At 41.1% G+C, this 19,161-nt stretch overlaps 1 protein-coding gene and 1 long non-coding RNA gene across 16 annotated transcripts in view; one reads left to right on the top strand and one right to left on the bottom strand.

Annotated features, from left to right (window-relative positions):
* LOC124901684 (uncharacterized) overlaps positions 1–4,493 on the top strand; it is a 30,058-nt gene extending 25,565 nt beyond the window's left edge. Inside the window, exons 2-3 of the long non-coding RNA XR_007060400.1 lie at positions 1,603–1,863; positions 4,152–4,493. This is a non-coding gene — a long non-coding RNA (uncharacterized LOC124901684). The remainder of the gene's footprint in view (positions 1–1,602; positions 1,864–4,151) is intronic.
* MAGI2 (membrane associated guanylate kinase, WW and PDZ domain containing 2) overlaps positions 1–19,161 on the bottom strand; it is a 1,436,613-nt gene that overhangs the window by 193,696 nt on the left and 1,223,756 nt on the right. The gene's annotated exons all lie outside the window — the stretch shown is intronic.

The raw sequence follows: 19,161 nt of genomic DNA on the forward strand, positions 1-19,161 counted from the left end.
AACAGAGATCCAAGTAGAAAGAAAGCTTCAAGAAGTAGTAGATGTAAATATTCATAATACAAGACTTTTTATTGGTTTGTCAGAGAGGAGGGTCACTGGTGACCTCAGTGGAAGCAGTTCAATTGCCAAGACAAAGGCAGAAATCAGATTGCAGTGGGTTTGAAGAAATGGAAGGTGAGGAAGTGGGACTGAGAAATGGTTATGGGGTTGAAGAAGCAGTGTCATAGTGGCTACAGGGGAATAAAGCCCTCCATAAAGAGATTTCTTTTTGGTGGGATAAGCATGCTAACATCCAGATGAGAAGGAACCTGAGTAGAGACAGTGTGAAGATTCAGTAGGAAAGAGGCTAACTGGTGAAATCATTTCATGAGACAAGAGAGGGTGTGATCTAGAGCACCAGGGGAGACATTCACCTTAATTGGGAGAGGAGGCACCCAAATCCTTATCAAGAGGCTGGAGCAGATCTCTCAGTGGGTGAACCCCCCAGGATCTGCCCCATGGGGAGGGATGGGACTAGACAGGAGAATTCACTTACAGTGGCAGAGATTGGTAAGATCAATGGGAATCTTAGGGGTCCTGGTTATGAGGCAAAGATAGAAACAGGAACACAATTTCTGAGGTGGTGGAGTGAGAGTTATGCACACAGAATATGGGGTAAAACTGACTTGGGTTCTAGTCCCAGCTCCACCTCTCACTAGCTATGTGGTCTCACATATATGGGTGGGCACATGCTATCAGGATGGACTCCTGGGCTGTGAGGGAGACCCTGGATTTGCTTTGTGGCTCACAGATGCATGACTGTGATTGAGTCCCCTAACCTCTCAGAGGCTCAGATTCTTTTTTCTGGAACAAAGTAAAGATAATAACAAACTATTTTAATAGTAATGCACTTTACATTCTATCAATATAAAGTGGAATGTTTGTTCATTTAATGCTTTTGATGGATTTCAAATTCTATTTCTACAAAGTAGAGGTCTGCTTTTCAGCAAGGTGTTCAACAATTTATTGCCACAACAGATGCATGTTATTTTTCCTTCACTGTTTTCCACTTTTTGTTCTTTTAAGCTTACTTTTAAATGCTTTTGAGCTGCCTTATGCTGTATGGACTACGACTTGTTTTGATTTGCTTTATCTTTTTCAATCACTGTTTTCATCCCATTGGAGTTTTCCAGTTCCTCCTGATCCTGGTTAGGTGAGAAGGTTTAACCTCACTCCAGTCTCTGTGCTCTAGTATAGACTGTGCCTCCAGCTTCAATGATTATGCTACCATTATTCTTTTATGAATTGCTTCTAACTTTGCATTTTCCTGTAAGTATTTATACGATTATTTACATTTACGCAACTTAACTAGTTTTAGTGCTTGCTACAGTTCGTTTTATACCAGTACTTCTCTATTTGAGGATTTTGAATTTTGATTCCTCTCTTAATGTATCTCCTCAAATAATTGTTTGGTGTGATAGGTGGAACAGTGGCCCCCACAAAGATATCCACATGCTTATCCTCAAAACCTGCGTGTAGGCTACTTTACAAGGCAAAAGATAATTTGCAGATGTGATTAAGGCTAAAGGCCTTCAGATGCAAAGAGTATCTTTGATTATACAGGTGGGCCCAACCTACTACACGAGTCCTTTCAAGAGAGGAAACGTTCCTGGCTGCAGCTAGAGAGAGATGGCAGCGTGAGGAGGCTCTGACTTGCTGCAGCTGCCCTGAAGATACGGGAAGGGTGTCACCGGCTATGGGGTGCTGGAGGCCTCTGGAAGTGGATTCTCTTCTAACAACTACAGAAAAGAATGCTGTTGTGCTGACATTTTGATTTTAGCCCAGTGACATCTGTGCTGGATTTCTGACCTACAGTACTATAAGGTCAGTTTATATTGTTTTAAGCCACTAAGTTTGTAAGGAATGTATTATGGTAGCAGTAGCAAATCCATATAGCTGGCATCTTTCCTAAGCACTTCCATGTGAATTCTAGTTTCAAATGAAACTAGATCTCAACTGCTTACTGCAGCCTTGACTTACTGGGCTCAGATGATTCTTGCACCTCAGCCTCTCAAGTAGCCAGTGGGATTACAGGCATGTACTGCCACACCCGGTTAACTTTTTGTATTTTTAGATGGGGTTTCACCATGTTGCCCACACTGGTCTCAAATTCCTGGGCTCAAGTGATCCCCTGCCTTGGCCTCCTAAAGTGTTGGGATTACAGCGTGAGCCACCACACCCAGCCAAGACTTTTCTATTGTCCTCTGATATTTAGTGATGGAAGGAGAAGCCTGGATCTGCTCAATTTTTATTGGTAAGTCACCTTTCATTTTCCTCCCAGAAAAATTGCACTTTAAAATCCTTTCTAGTGCTTTATAAATTACCAGAATATGCCTAAGTGTTAATTTGTTTTCATCAATTCTTCCTGGACTATAGCAAGAGCATTTGCTTTGGGATTTCTCTGAAGTCTTTCTACTCAAGATGTGGTTTGAGACCTGCAGCATCAGCCTCACCTGGGAGTTTGTTAGGAATCTCAGACCTAAGATTTATACTGAATCAGATTTGCATCTTGACAGGGTCCCCAGGTGACTAATGCACATTCCAGAAGTCCTGATAAAGGTTATTCTATTTGTAGATTTGATCTTGACTCTTTTATTAGAGTCCTGAATTTTTTTGTCCTTTGACTCCCTACGATCAATATTTATCAAAAGAGAGACATGCTTCTTCCTCTCCTCCAAGAGGTCATAGTCAAAGCTCTTGGTTCACACTTCTGTTAAGTTTAGCCTAAAGCTGCCTCCTTACCTATTTTAAGTTCAGCCTAAGAGTTTCTCTGTACATGGTGAACTACTAATCTAACTGGATGTGTAAACAGACCATAACCTGCTCTTGTGCCAGAGTTTCGGCCAAAGGCAGCCAACTGTTCGAATCGTGTTCAAATCAGGGAAATGTCAAGCTGTAACCAATCTGAGCTGTACCTCAATTCCATTTTTGTAGGTTACTTTGCTTCTGTCCATAAATCTTTGTCGATCATGCGACAGTGTTGGGGTGTCTATGAACCTATTCTGGTTTGAGGGCTGCCTGATTCACGAATCATTCTTTGCTCAAACTCTGTCAAATTTAATCTAAGGTTTTCCTTCTAACACTTCTTTCCCTTCCTCTGGTAACTCAGGCATACTACTCCCCCAACCTCCCCAGCCTAGGTTTGGTCTCCTATTTGAAACACCCAATCCAAACCAGAATTACCTGGGAGAGTGATGTGCATGTGATTGCTGTTGAGTTGGAATAAAACGTGAGACCTACTGCTCCATAATTGGAGACCTCCTCATGTTGACCTCTACATCATTAACTTCTTGCAGCATCAGGTCTGGTTCTCACTGATGTTAATGAATGTTTTCACCTGCTGAGGTAATCCGAAGCCCACTGATTTGTCTATTTCAGACTTCTTTATCAAGCATTACTTTGTGTGGTCTTTGCATTTTGAGCGGCCGTGCCCATTTCTCCTTTTTAAATATTACATCTTCTAGCATCTGAGGATCCCAAGTATGTTTTCTGAGTTTCTTGTTTTCTGTAGTAAATCTTTTTCAGTGTCATGCTCTTCTAATCTTCAAGGCTAAACATTCCTTTTTAAAATACTTACCTATTTTGTTATAGATGCCATCCTCCATTTAAAAATCAATTATTGCTAGAATCTGTGAATCCCTGATACTATCTTTTTGATGTCTTGGCACTTTACTGGGATGTTGGGAGATATGAGATATGAGATATCAATATGAGACTTTGGCCTGATGTCATTTTAAGATTTCTTAGCATAATCTATTAATGTTAAGAGCAATTTATTTCTATCTCTACTTTGGTCTACAAATCTAGATCTTTTACTTTTTAAAAGTAAGATCTGGAATATAGGTAGAACTGATGTTTATTTCTTGTTTTGACTAACCAGCTAAGACTTGAAATCAATCTTCCCTTAAGACTATGGCTTCCCTGATTAACAATAGTTGTTACTACTTGTGGAGATAAAGCACAAAAATCATCAGAGGATTACCCCTGCAATGTATTTTCTCATAACTACAATAGCAAGAAATAGGGATTAAGAACAAACTTGTTTGCTTTACAGTGGGGATTCTTGGTGCAACTGACTTCTCTTTCTCCCTGTTTATTTTTCGTATCCCCAGGTTCTCCTGTAGAACTTCCCAGGCAGAAGAAAAGATAATTCTAATGGTTCTGCTGTGGAGCAGAGAGTCACAGCTTGCATCACAGTCCACGGATCACCAAGAGGAACCTTACTGACTACTGGTGAGTCAATGTTTTACATCACATGAAGACAAAAGAGGATCACGGATGTCATTTTAGTTTGGGTTCTCACAAAAGCAGACCCTGAGAGGAGGACTTGGGTGACTCTACGAAGCATAAAGCGAAGAATGGGGAAAGTGATTCAGGGAAGGGAAACGTTAATGAATAGATTATTGTGTTGAGCAGCTGGGGCTTAGTCTCATCGTGGATCTTCTGAAAAACCACGAGAACATGGGGGGATAAGGATTGTTCTCCTATGGTGTTAACTCTCCTGCATTCTCGGTTGTGCCTGCTTTAAGGCTGAGGAAGTATCTGTGGTGCCACAGAAAGTTCTTCATTACAGAATAAGAGGCTGGTGCTTGAGGTAGAACTATCAGTTTGCTAGAAGCATCCCAGCCATCTGTGGACTTGGGTCAGCTGAGAGGATATGAGTAAGACATCAACACCACCTGTTGTAGATGCTGTTGATGAAAACAGGCAAACCATACCTGTGGTAGGAGGAAAATGTAACTATGCACTTAGAGTGATGATTTTTTGGGAAGAAGGGATTTACATAGCATTAAAATGGAGATGGAAAACGAGTCCATTCTTTTGCCAACTCTGATCAACTGCTGCCTGGAGTGCTGTGGTGGGGATTCTCAACGGCCTCAGCAGGAAATCATCTTTATTGATTAGCAACCCCAGCCATGGGAATGGAGGAAAAGGGGGTAGCAAGTGGGCACTGTTTTGCCACTCTGTTTTAAAGTGGAGGCTAATTTTTATTAATGAGTTGAGTGAACATATCTCTAATGAAATAAAATCTTCCACAGATTTGGCCTTTTAAAAATGCACAGATGTAAAGTGCCTTTGGTTAATGGGAGAATTCTCCAATTGTTGCAAGACTGGGGTAGACTTATGAGGCATAGCAGTTAAATAAGCATTAGCTTTGTTATTTTGGCACAATTTTTCTGGTAAACATGCTAATCTCTTTCCCACTGATACATAAAAAATGAAATAGTCATAGTATGAACTGAAAGTATGAAGAGATCAAGGTGGAGAAAATGTAAGAGTGTCAATACCTAGTCCTAGCATCAATGCTGAGACAGGCGTAATCTGCCATCATGTTTTAAGGAAATATCACCATTCACCCTGGGACATATTTAAACTGTTATCTGAGTCCAACAATAACAACCTGTGCCATAGCAATTCAAGTTGATTTCAGGTCCTGTGGTTATTTTCTAAATAGTCCTCAATTCTCATGTCCCATGCTGCATCTGAGTAATTCACTGTCAGGTCCTGCCTGGCCTACTGCAGCCAACCTACCTGCCTCCTGCTCGTACCTTCATCCATCTGCTCTTCACAGTGTAGTCACAACAGTCTTTTCAAAGAATAAATCTGATCATGTCACTCATCTACTTGAAACCTTGTAATTGGCTTCCCCATGCTTGTAAGAACAAAGTGAAAATCCTTTGTAGGACCCTAGTCTGTTCCCCATCCGTTTTTCTAGCCTCACCTCGCTCTGGTGCTCAGCTCCTATGTGCTTTGCTTTCTCTCCTCCGGCCACAGGGACCTTCTTTCAGACTCTTCAGTCTCCCTCTTACCACAAGGTCATTGAGCCTGCTTCTCTGCCCTGCTGACCCAGCTAACTCCTGTTTCTCCTTTAGATCTTGGTTTGCTCCAGGGTCACTTCAGAGGTAACTTCCCAGACTTGTCTAAACCAAACCCGATAGAGGCTCTCATAGCTGCATAAACCTCAATGCTACTTCCCATTTCCATGGTTGAGACCACTAATTCGTAAAGGTATTTCCCCTCTTTGGGTCTAAATAATAGAAGTTTGCTATATTACACTTCTTGGGGCTAGAAGTCTGAGATCAAGGTGTTGGTAGGGTTGGTTCCTGCTAAGGGTTGCTGGGGAAAGATCTGTTCAGTCCTCACTCCTGGCCTCTGGAGTTGGCTGGAAATCTTTGCCATTCCTTGGCTTTTCAGATCTCTGCCTTCATCTTCACAGACATGCACACAGGGGATGGCATCTCCAATGTTCTCCTTTTTAATAAGGACACAAGTTCTATTGGACTAGTGGCTCACCCTACTCCAGTATGACTTTGTTTTAATTAACGACCTCTGGAATGGCCCTATGTCAAATAAGTTCACATTCTGAGGTACTGGGGGTAAGAACTTCAATATATAAATTTGAGGGTGGGAACACAATTCAACCTTTAACAACCCCTTACATTAACCTCCCTGGGCCAAAGTTTTTGCATCTGTTACAATTGGAATTCAGGTGCATGTTTCTGGGATAACTTTTCTCTCCCCTATGGGTTTAATTTCCTGAGGGCAGGGATCTTACGTGTATGTATTCATTCTCCAGTTCCTAGCACAGTACCTAGTGTAGGGTAGGTGCTCAATAAATACTTGTTGCGTGAAAGGAAACATCAAAATGTATTTTTACCAATACTCAATTTTTATTTCTCTGTGGTGTATCTCTCATGTAGCAGTTTGTCATTGAAATGGCAATTTTGGATATATTGTCACATTCTTTATGAAATCTGTGTGAAGGAGGCAGGAAAGGGATGACTACACATATCTTACAGAAGGAAGTAGAGTTCTGATGGCATCCCAGGCATGCAACAGGGAGATGGCAGAACTGAGACTTGGCCCACACCCTCTCTGACTCCAGGTCTAGAGTTCTTTTCCCACACCAATTTGCCATAGCAAGATGGCAGGGCATTATGCAATTAGCAGACTAGTTACTTGCCATGATCTTGTCCTAAAATCTTTCAGGTCAGCACAAAGACCTGTAATAATTATTTGGATGTTGCTTGTTGGTTTTATATTCAATGGAACAGAAGAGGCCAGCAATAGTGACCACTTGGTAGCCTGGGGGCTGTAGTGGCAGAGAATGAGGTTCTTGGCACATCATAATCTCCTGTGTATTTACTTAGATGCATGACTATAAGGGGCATCATTTCAAGCTGCCGTTTTACTTAGGAAAAAAAGTTGGAGACCCTCTGATGTCCCACATGGGCAGAACTAGGGTTGGAAAGAGAATAGACACAGATATATGGCACTGAGGGAGCCAGATATGGTTAGGCCAAGAGCCTTCTACAACTCTGAAGTTTTCAAGAATATTTTATTGCTCTATTGCATAGATGAGAGACTGAAGGAAGTTCTCCTGGGCTGCCAGCAATGTGCCTTGGTTGAGTCATGATGTATGTATTACAAGTCTGTGGCATGTTGGAACCATAGGGGACCTTCCAGCCAATGGATTCTGCCTTTGCAGATGTACATACGAGGGCTTCCCACTGAATCATCATGGAGCTGATGACAATCACTAGAAGTGATGTAAATCTTTCAGAGAAGGGGAAAATCAGCACTTAAACTCACTAGTAGTTGACTTCTAAACTAAATAACACCATGTTTTATTTTGGTTTTAATCTTAGAAAAACAGTGAAGGCAGGGGCCATGCTTGTTAATAATTGTATTGTTAACAAGCATATTGTTAACAATTAACTTTTAGTGATACCACAATATTTTTCAGCTGAATTGAATTCAATTAAGTTGACAGCTTATTTTTGAACAATTTCCCATCTTCAAGTCACTTAACAAAGAAGCCTGCAAACAATGTTGGCTTTCAGGTTTCTAAAGAGAAACAGGGTTTGAAAAAGTATGAGCCACCTCTGTCACCTGCATATGACAAAGGAAGTGTGTTTGTGTCACCTGGACCCACCTAGGGACTCTGTGGGTCTGTTTTGCTTTCTGAAGCTGCATTAGTAGCGTGGGGCTCATTCTCAGCTTGGATTCTTCACACAGCGTCAGTGGGGACTAATCTAGGTTTTTTCCTAATGGAATTAACAAGTCGAGAACCACACTTTACAGCCCAACAGCGCCTCTTCACAGCTGGCACCTGCTCATACCGAACCTGGTGCTTCATCATAGCCGACATTTTGTGCCTCTTCTGTCCTCGTCTACCTCCCACGTGAAGGGGAACTGGAACATTATCTTCTTTGCTATGGATGAAGGTCAAATTGTGTCTCTAATGGCTGCTCTGGCTGACTGGGCTGCTCTGATTAATGATGACTAATGTTTTACAGAGGATCGTGGAGAACGTGCCTCGTCTACCTTCCTAATGAGATAAGGGTTCACTCCTGAGTCCTTATTTTCTCACTTTATACACGTTCCCTTGGGGTCTCCCTCTCTCTCATGGTTTTAGCTTCTGTCTGCAGGAGAGGAATTGGTAGTGCTGTGTTTCTAAGCCTGACCTCTGCTACTTACACTAAGTGCCCCTCACTTCTCTCTCAACGATTCCCTCACTCATTCATTTACTTATTCATCATTAAATGCATATTGATTGAATGGCTACTGCAGGCCCAGCACTGTCTATCTGGACAGCTTACCAAGACAAAGGTATGACTTCATTTTGCTGAATCTGCTACACCTGCTTCCTCCATCTGCACCCACTTTTCTCTTCTCACTGAGGCATTCTCCTGGGTTGAGTTCATTTTATCCTCAGGGCCTCTCGTACTACTGAAAACATCTAATCTCCTTCTAAATCAGCCTTGTCCTTCCCCCCCACCGATGTCAAGACCAACTGTTCAGCTGTATTTACACTGACTATTCTACAGGGCCCACAGACTCACATCCAATAATGAATGTAATCTCTTCCCCCACAACTTGCCCTTCTCCAACAGTCATGGTGCTATAGCAAACCATTCTCCAATCCAGAAACCTGGGGCTCATTGCAAATTTGTCCATTCCATCCTCCCTTTCACATTCTGTCATTCCTTGATGTCGCTGGTATTGACCTCTTCTCTCGACTCTTGCTTCCTACTATTTGATTCAGAGCCCCAGTACCTCAGAACTTCTTGCCTATAGTACTGTAAATGACTTCTAACTATTCCTTCCTTTCCTCTATTCCTGTCCTGCCCAATCCATTCTTTCCATTGCTGCTAGAGGAATCTTTGTAAGGCACAAATTTGAGCATAGTACTTCTCTTTTCTTCTATAGTGGTGTCCTATTTGCTGCAGAATGGAGTCCAAACTCCTTATTATACAACCTACTCCATGACCTGGCCCTGCCTGCAGCTCCAGCCCCACTGCTTACAAAGTTCCACCTCAGAGCCCTCTGTCTGTCTGCCCCACTCCATTTGCAGCTCTCAGAACACCTGGGCTGTGTGACAACTCTATCTTTGCCCTGCTGGGCCCATTTCTACCTAGAACTCCTACCCCATCCTGATTGCCTGGCACGAAGTTACCTCTTTATAATTCTTATCTCATGCACCACCTCTGAAATGCTGTCACCACTCTTTCTCTTCCTGGTAGAACTGACCAATCTTGCCGTGTCCCCCCACCCATGGTACCCTGGCTGCACTCTCATCACAGCACCTGGAACACACCAGGACACTTCATTGTTATGTGCCTTGGGCTAAGTAGATTATAAGCTTCTTGAGGGCAGGGGCAACATCCTGTTTGTCTTTGCATCCCCAGTGCCTACCAAAGTGACATGTATGTAAAGAATGCTTGCTAAGTAAATAACAGGGCTATTTATCCTGAAAGGGAATTCTGTAGTTTGATACTTTGGTTTTTTAAAAATTATTTTTGTTAGTTTGATCAGTATATTCTATTTCCCTTTAACGGAAGATAAAACCAGCTTATATTTTAGCATAAGACACACATTAAGTAACTTGACCATGAGAAAAATAATAGAGTGGACTGGAGCAAACATTTGCCCAAACGCATCCATTTTTACAGAGGTGGAAGCGGAGCAATTTAATGATGTACCATGAAATCACGTCAATAATTAATGGCAGAATTGGGACAATATTCCTGTTCAGTACCTTATTGTCCTGCTGTGTTAGGAAAACAAACTTTATTGAGCTTTGACTGTGTGCCAGGCACTGCTTTGGTCATTTGTAGACATTTTATGCCATAATCTCAGCAGATAGGTGCAGCTGCCGGGTTTACAACCCATATGTTGTGTTTACCCCTCCCACCTCTCTAAGGCTACCGTACCTGTACTGAGCACACACGTTTCTTCCTTGGCTCACTATGCCATGTTGCCAGGTCACTTTTCTGATCTTTAGCATGTCATGAATTTCCTCCTGAGCCTTCCTGGATTCTTGAGCTTGACTATGCTAACTCCCCTCTAAAGTCTCCTCTTTCCCATCTATGGCTTTGTCAGATTTAAATTCCCAGGACAGGTTCAACAGTCTATTTTTCCTTTGCTAGTGTATTCTGGCCTCTCTTGTGGCTTTCTCATCAGGATGACTGCTCCCCACATGGCAGACCCTTAGTTCTCTTCCGCCTGTTGTCCAACTTTTCCATTTACTCATGAAGCAGCATTGTGCCCCAGACACCTCTTTCTCACTATGTGAAAACCATCAAAGGGTTTATTGTCTCAAATTAACTTAGGTTGTGAGATCTCAGAACTGTTTAGAGAACTAGACTAACTTTATTGTTTAGAATGAAAAGATAATTATTTAGCATGATGCTGTGGGAAGCTGAGAGTGGCCAAAACTATGACCAAAAGGTGAAGAACAGAGTAAAAGTACAGACAGAGTAAAAGAGGACATTAAAGCAATGGCCAATTTGATATTTACAAAGATTTGGGGAAATCCATATCGCTCATATTATTTGCATATTCACATATTCAGAAAATGTGGACAATAGAATATTATTAATGACAGTTAGATAAAAACTTAATTTAAAAATACCAAGGCCAGGTGCAGTGGCTCACACCTATAATCCCAGCATTTTGAGAGGCTGAGGTGAAAGGATCGTTTAAAGCCAAGAGTTCAGGACCAGCCTAGGCAACTAGGCAACACAAGGAGACCTTGTCTCTATATTGCCTAGGCTGGTCTTGAACTCTTGGCCTTAAACGATCCTTTTGTTTAAAAAATAAGAACATTAGCTGGGCATTGTGGTGTGTGCTTATAGTCCTAGCTATTTAGGAGGCTAAGGTGGGAGGATCGCTTGAGCCCAGGAGTTTCAGGCTGTAGTGAGCTATGATTGCATGACTGTACTTCAGCCTGGGCGACAGAGCAAGATCTTGTCTCTTAAAAAATCAAATATGCAAAACATAGCTCTTTGAAAAGCGCTGGACATTCAGGAGAGATGAGAGGTTTATGCTGGGTTTAATATGTTGGGAATGCACATCATTCTGTGTCTTCTTACACAAGAATGTGCCTGAAATATGCCCCATTCCTCGAGGGTTTCAGTTTAGTAAACCACGTGTTTTATGGGATAGCAAAAAATTGATGTTGATTTTTCTCTTCAGCAGCTGTTTCAACTCCTGTACACAATCTATCAGTAAGTTCTCTAGCTTGCCAGCTTCATGAGCTCTATGGAGAAAAATAACACAGAACAAGGAAAAATGAAAAACTGCAAACAATAAGTCACATTTCCTGGGTCCTTATTCTGGCAGGCACTTCACATCATGCCATTTAATCCTCACAACAACCACGTGAAGTAGGTTCTCTTAGCATCCCATTTTACAAATGAAGTAACTGCAGATTTAGAGATGAAAAGTAACTTACCCCCAGTCACACAGTCACTAGGTGGCAGAGCTAGGATTTTAAAACTACTTTTGAACCTAAGGTTCTTAATCATTGTTTGTTTTACTGCCCCCAAACACAGTAGGGTTTGAAAATGGCCAAGTGTGAATCTATGAAGGCCCCATCTCTGATTGCTAAGAAAACTAACAGTCACTTTATGTAGAGTCCAAGCTTTGCCATCTGATGCTTCTTAACACATAGGTCCTGTACTGTTGCAGGAAACTTCATGAGCTAACAAATGAAAAGCCAGAAAAGAGAATTTCCTTAGATTAAGAGGGAATTTATACCCAGAACATGGATATTTCTCAAGCCAAAAGGAAAACCAAATAATTAACACTGAGTGAAAAGTGTAATGAAAAGCAAAAATCAAATCAAACCACACCCATAAAAGTTACCCAGGGCTGAAGAGATAAATCAGAAAATAAACAGAAGAAAAATTGTCTCCCTCATGAAACATGGTTATGGGGGGATACTCTGAACAACACAGCTGTCAATATTTCTGTGGATCATAAATAGCCTCTCAATTGTCTGGGCAGTCAAAGGTGAACTGCTCCTGTCTCTGTCTGTTCATACCACAGTTTCTAGGTGTGCGGGTATCACACCTGGGCTTTCATCTTTTAAGACTTTTGAGTTCTAAGCCTGTATGTTTCTTCCTTTACATCAGTCTTCCTTTTAGGAAGATTAGAAAAACATGTATGTTTTCTCACTTTGTTCCCCAGACCATTTGTTCTTTCATTTTTCTTAAAATGCTCTCCACTTTTAAGAGCTTTCTGTACTAAAAAAAAAGTGCTCTCACATACTTGACCTACAGGTTTGAAGAACCACCCAGAGATATATTTAAGAGTTAGCTTTGAGATTTCTGAAAATAGAAATTATATTCTTAAAGTACTTGTAAAGAGGGAAGACATAAATAGTGGTGACAGCAATCCAATTTAGGGGAGAGGATAACTACCTCAAAAGTTCTGAAACTTTAAAGAAATATTAACAAGTTATGTTATCAAATAGTTCAAAGAAATAGTAACCAATAAACTGAAAATTTCAAAATATTAATATACTAAATAATCAAAAATAACCATTAAAAATGTTGATAAGGACTTAACAAGATAATTTACCTCACCAAAACCATTTACTGTAATGCCACAAGCCTCCCTATTTTATGATTTATGGCCAATATTTTATACTGCCCCTTTTTTTTCACAATGAAAACAGATTTATGGTATAAAAGCTAGTAGAAACCCAGAAGAGAATTTATGCATTTTTGAATCCAAAACTAAAAAGGGAACAGATGAGTATAAAATATCACTATTATATTCATCATCATTATTGTCTATTTTTATTAAAGCCACTGCTTTTCCCAGGCATGTAGGGCACTTTTAAAATAAAATTGCTCCATGTTTAAGCTTACCGACTTGGTACAATTGACTTGCAGAAGCAATTGCTCTCCTGAACATTTATTATCCCTTGGACCAAAATCATGTAAAGCCTTGGACTGCTTGATTCAAAGGCAAATGTTAGGGTAACGCTTTCTCATTCTCAATTCTACAGAGTACGTAGATTTCATTGTGAAATAGAATGGTTTGTTCAGTTGGCATTTTTGGAGTTTTGGATTGATTTGCCTCATCTGGGAATTGGAGTACAGGAGCAATGAACAATGTAGAATTTATGCAGAAACCAAACATTTTATTTATTTTATTTTCTTTAGGATGATTAAAAGTAAAGTTTTTACCTATGTGACTTGTGAGGTGAGTTATCAGGTTGTGTGGGAAAAAAGCTCTCCACTCGTTAGTCTTCGTACTCACTTAGTTTTACACAGTGAGTTATAAGTGCTCTTTTTTTGACCAGGCGCGGTGGCTCATGCCTATAATCCCAGCACTTTGGGAGGCTGCGGTGGACAGATCACTTGAGGTCAGGAGTTTGAGACTAGCCTGGCCACCATGGGGAAACCCTGTCTCTGCTGAAAACACAAAGATTAGCCGGGCATGGTGGCGTGTGCCTGTGGTCCCAACTACTTGGGAGGCTGACGCAGGGGGATGGCTTGAGCCCAGGAGGTGGAGGTCGCAGTGAGCCAAGATCAAGCCACCACATTCCAGCCTGGGCAACAGAGTGAGACTCTGTCTCAACAACAACAACAGCAACAACAACGTAAATTTTTTTTTTTTTTTTTCACCAAATAGTTCCCCTTTTTGTTTTGGAGGAAGTGTATCAGGTAAATAACAGACAGTTTTCCACCTTTGTCCTATTTCAACAGTCTCCATTCCCACCAAGGAAAAGCCTCACGGTGAATGGCATTTTTGGAAGTCCATGTCTCTACCGTCACTCAGCATCAAGTCACTGAAGATGCTGGGCATTCCTCCATGTTCTCAGGACCCCAGACTGTCATTCCCAGCAGAGAAATAGGTCCTGAGGTCTGGCTGCTACCCCCGCCTTCCCTCTGCTCACCTCACCTCCAACTTACACAGAATTGGCTCTGCTGGCCCAGTCCCTGCAGATATCCTGGAAGCAAACTACCTGCCGGCCTGGCTTCTGCACACTGCTTCCCTGGAGTCTTTCTTTGGGATACTGCACAAACTGCTGTAAGACCCAAGGCTGATTACTCATCAGAGATCACTTGTCAGCTGCAGCAGCCTTTCAGCTTGAATTCTTACCCCCTTATTTTCTGAGATTCCAAGTTTTTGTTTATCCCCGTGAGCAGGTTGCCTCTCAGACCATTGCTAGAAACACTATGCCTTGGTTTATCGTCAGTAGAGCCAACCAAGATGATTGTCTAGTGAAGACCCTTCCCACATTTAATTTTTTTATTTATAGATAATTTTTTTTTTTGAGACAGGGTCTTGCTCTATTGATTAGACTGGAGGGCAGTGGCACAGTCACCATTCACTGCAGCCTTGGCCTCCTGGTCTTAGGTGATCCTCCTACCTCAGCCTCCCGAGTAGCCAGGACTACAGGCATATGCCAACATGCACCTGTATTTGTGTTTTTTGTAAAGATGGGGTTTTACCAGAAAAATGTTTTGAGCACTTACTATGTATCTGGCTCCATGTGTTCACATTTCTGCACCTCAGAGTTTTAGAAATAGAACTGCTTTAGGCACAGTTCCAAAAGCAAAATAGCCTGAATATTTGTTGGGGTGAGAGTGCTTCAAAACCAAGTCCATATTTGGCAAGGACTGACCAGAGAGAGGTCAATTTCTTTCTAAACAGTCCAGTCCAGACAGCATTCTGCGCATGGGCTTCTTTTCGCCCTAGTCCACTTCTTGCTGAGTGATTAAAATATTTCTAGATAAATTAAAATTCTTCTTTTAGTCCTTTGAGTGTCCAAGGCAGATCTTGTTTTCTGCAATTCTTTGCTCCTGCAGCCACATTGTACAACGCCGAGGGTGCTGTTCACATGATAGATAAGTCTAAGACAGGGAGTGCTTCTCAAACAATCTCTGGCAAAGACCAGTTTTTAAAAAAATTCAAATCCAAAAGCCAAATGTTTGTAAAGAAAATTATTAGAAAATTAAAAGAGAAAAATATAAGCCCCTGTTTTAAAAATTGATTCAACTGATATAAAATTACTCATGTCAATTTGCCATATGAGTTTTTAATGCTTAATTTCAATTTTTTATGTCTTTCTTTGAGCACTGGTGACAGGTTTCTGGACCACTCCCAGTCAATATGCCACCCTCACAGGTCTAGGTCATAGATTCTGTGCGAATGGTGCCCCCTACCGGTGTGCAGTGCAGTTTAACTGAATGTCAGAGAGTGACTGCAGAAAGTATACAAATGTTTAAAAAAAAAAAAAAAAAAGTGGCCAGCAGGAACTTCTCTCAAATGAGGCTTTGGCATGATAGGCAAATTAATGGATTATAGACAAAATACAGGCATTACTCTCCTTATTTCAACTTTATAGCTGAGCCTTGAGACCAATTTGGAGTTGGGACTTTACATTCATGCTCGTTAGTGATTCAGTGCCACTGGCAGCGAATGAGACCTTTTTCAGTTAATTCAGATATTCTGGCTGAAGTCCAACCCTGGTAATTGCCTCGGCCTACGTGAATGTCTCCCACCACCGAAATTATATTTCCTCTCTTAAACTACCGTGTAATATCACGGTCTGCCTTTGAATAGCTGCCATTGTAAGCTTTAGAGGTAACTACCTTTTCCTGCCAGGTAAAACAATTTTAAAATGCACTGTGCGTGTGTATGTATATATGTACGTATTTCTCTGTGAGGCTTATGAACATATAAATGGCTTCTCAAGGAAGAAACTGTTAGGTAAATGTACAGTCAGATTGACACTTTTAACAGAACTAGAGTTTCACTGGACATTTGCACAACAAGGCTGAGGGGACCATGGAAATGAGTTTTCTGTAAATCAGATGTGAATGCCAATAATTGCAGGGTTGGGACATGCATGATTAAATGCATGGGTTTTAAAATCAGATTTTAGTTTGATTATAGATATTTTGTGGGACAGCATCATTAAAAAGAGAGACTTAAAAGAGCTTTAAGAAAAGTTTAGGGCATAAATCTATTCAAGGCTTCCACCCTCTCCACAATTTTGGTGTTTCTATTCTTTTCTTGTACAGTTGGTGTAAAAAGGGCTGTAAAAGTATAACTCTCTGAATATTCATTTAAAAATAGTTTCTTAGATATATTTTTCCTTTTTGAGTCTGATTCCACATTGTTGTCAGTCATTTTTCTAACACATGTTCTTGATATGTTGATAAAACACCTACACTGGTCATCATCATTGCTCATTAGAGTAAGTCTGGACTCTCTTGCTGGGCATTCAAGGCCCTACCGGAGGATCTGTCCCTATTTCAATTACCCAACAGTATCTTGATTACATCCCAGTATGAACTTTCACCAGAGTTCTGCTCATCAAAGAACTTCTCTAACTGGACCTAGTCCATCTCACCTCTAAGGTCTCATGACTCACAGAGCTACTCAAAGTGGGAAGTCCTTTTCCCCCTTCTCTGTCCATTTAACCTTAAATCCTTGTCCACCTTTAATCTCACCTTCAGGCGATTCTTTTCCTAAGTTCCTCTCACTTTTATTTGCATCATAGGATTTAGACTTTAAGTATATTTCTCTTTTAATATTTATTGGATATTTCATGTGCATGAACTCCACCTTCCTAATGAAATGATGTTCTCTTCACAGGCATGAGTGAAATAGAAAAATATAATTTCCCCCCTTCTTGTTGTGCAGAAAGCCTGGGTAATCCTCCCCTCCACTTCTCATTTGTCACTCTTGTCTTCTCTGTCACCTGAGGAAGTTGTGTCATAGAAATACCATACTGCCTTCTTACTCAGTTGTGTGTGTGTGTGTGTGTGTGTGTGTGTGTGTTTTAAACCCTTAGAAGCATCATTGGTTATTGTGAATGCCTAGACAACAGACTGGCAAAATTTTTCTGTAAAGAGCCAGACAGTAAATATGTTAGGCTTTGCAGGCTACATGATCTCTGTTGCAACTACTCAACTCTGCCCTCACAATGCAAAAGCAGCCATTGAGAATGCTCAAACCAATGAGTGTGGCTGTGTTCCAATAACATTTTATGGACATTGAAATTTGAATTTTGTACAACTCCTACCTGTTACAAAAGAGTATTCTTCTTTTAACATTTTAAGACATTTAAAAATGTAAAAACCATCCTTAGCTCAAGAGCCATACAAAAGCAGATGGTGGACTGAATTTGGCAAGAGCCATGGTTTGCTGATCTCTGACCTAGATCACTGTTTCCTAAGTTGCGGTCCCTAAACCATCTGCATCAGAATCACTTAGGGTTACGAGTTTATAGAAAATATAAATTATGGAACCAGTGAAGGAGAATTTCTGAAGAAATGAAGGCTATTAACCAATAGTTGTGGCTCACCACATCTAGAATGGTTATGATGGGTTGGCCTTTTGAGTTAGTATTTGGGAATCAGTAAGCAAGGTTCTAACAGGAAGGGGCAATGATAGAGCAGGTTCCTTAGAGACCCATTTTACAAGACTCACAACCCAAGAGGGGCAACATCAACAGCAGAGACTCCATGCTTTAAATCAGCATTTTAGAAATTTTTTAGATGCTGAAAATACAAAACTCAGGGTTTCCGAGTGTTTATATTTAAAATACTTGTTATTGAGAATATCAGTAGATGTGGCAAATCTTTATTTAACTAAAAGTCAGTAAAAGTAGAAATATATTTATGGGGAAGGAAAAAAACACTCATTAAATATAATGTATATGAGACTAAAATGTAAATAAGAAAAGATCTTTATGATCCTGCCCACATTGAAAACCTTTGTAGCTGAGGCCGTTGTTACCTATGGTGAATTCCAGAGTAATTATTTCATTATGAGGAAACAGTTTTGAAGGGAAGATGTAACATATTTCTTGGATAACTTCATTTACCTAATACACTAGATTATAACATAAACATCTTCTAGGAAGGTGGAGACCATCTAGAATCTCGTGCCCACAGGGGCCTTTCGGCCAATGCAAATCAATTGAGGCTGGAATATGGCTCTGCCTGAGCAGAGTAGATTTGATGGTTTCTGATCTATAGACCATCATGACACACATTTTGCAACTTATTCCCAAACTCAAAAGAAATGGATGAGGGGAGAGAATGGGAATGGTCTGTTAACTGGGGACTCTAACTGCCAACACCAGCCAAGATTTATTGAGCACAGCTTTTGCACCAGGCACTGTGCTAAGTGCTCTATGTGGATTTTCTTGTTTAGTCCTTGTAATTAGCACACTGATAGCTCCATTAGAGGTAAGGAAACTGAAGTTTGGAGATCCTAAGATACATGTGGCAGATCACACAGGCCAAGTGAACACCAAGATTTGAACTCAGGGCCTGTGTCCTAACAACCATGCTGGGCTGCCTCCCAACACCTTCACTTTGCAAGGAAATCAGGCTTTGGTGGGTTTTCTTTCACTCTAGCTGAGGAAGAAACCACATACTGGGCTCTGTGTGGATTCTGGACAAATGGGGCGAGCTTCACGTCAAAAAGGCCAGCACTATGGTGTGGCACTGTGCTAGGTCAGGAGGAGACAGCCCGTGGTCCTGCAAGGACACTGAGCCTGTGTGACAGCTCTGGATCACTCTGCCAAGGAGGGATAGGCTGTTTTGGCCTTTTACAGTAATATTTGTTTTGGAACCAGTAAGCCAGGTTCCTAAATAGGAAGGGACGATGACAGAGAAGGGTCCTTGTGATCTATCTTACAAGACCTCCAACCCAAGTGGGAGACACCAATAGAAGTCACTGCAGGTGTCATAAGAGAGAGCTCCTGGATTCTGGCAGAAGTGGTCAAGCATGTCAGATGAAAACTGAGACTCCAGACACAGATTCGGAGGATCCCCAGCCATTCTTGGCCAAGAGGTC

The sequence above is a fragment of the Homo sapiens genome, chromosome 7, assembly GCF_000001405.40.
Source record: "Homo sapiens chromosome 7, GRCh38.p14 Primary Assembly".
Taxonomy (NCBI): Eukaryota; Metazoa; Chordata; class Mammalia; order Primates; family Hominidae; genus Homo; species Homo sapiens.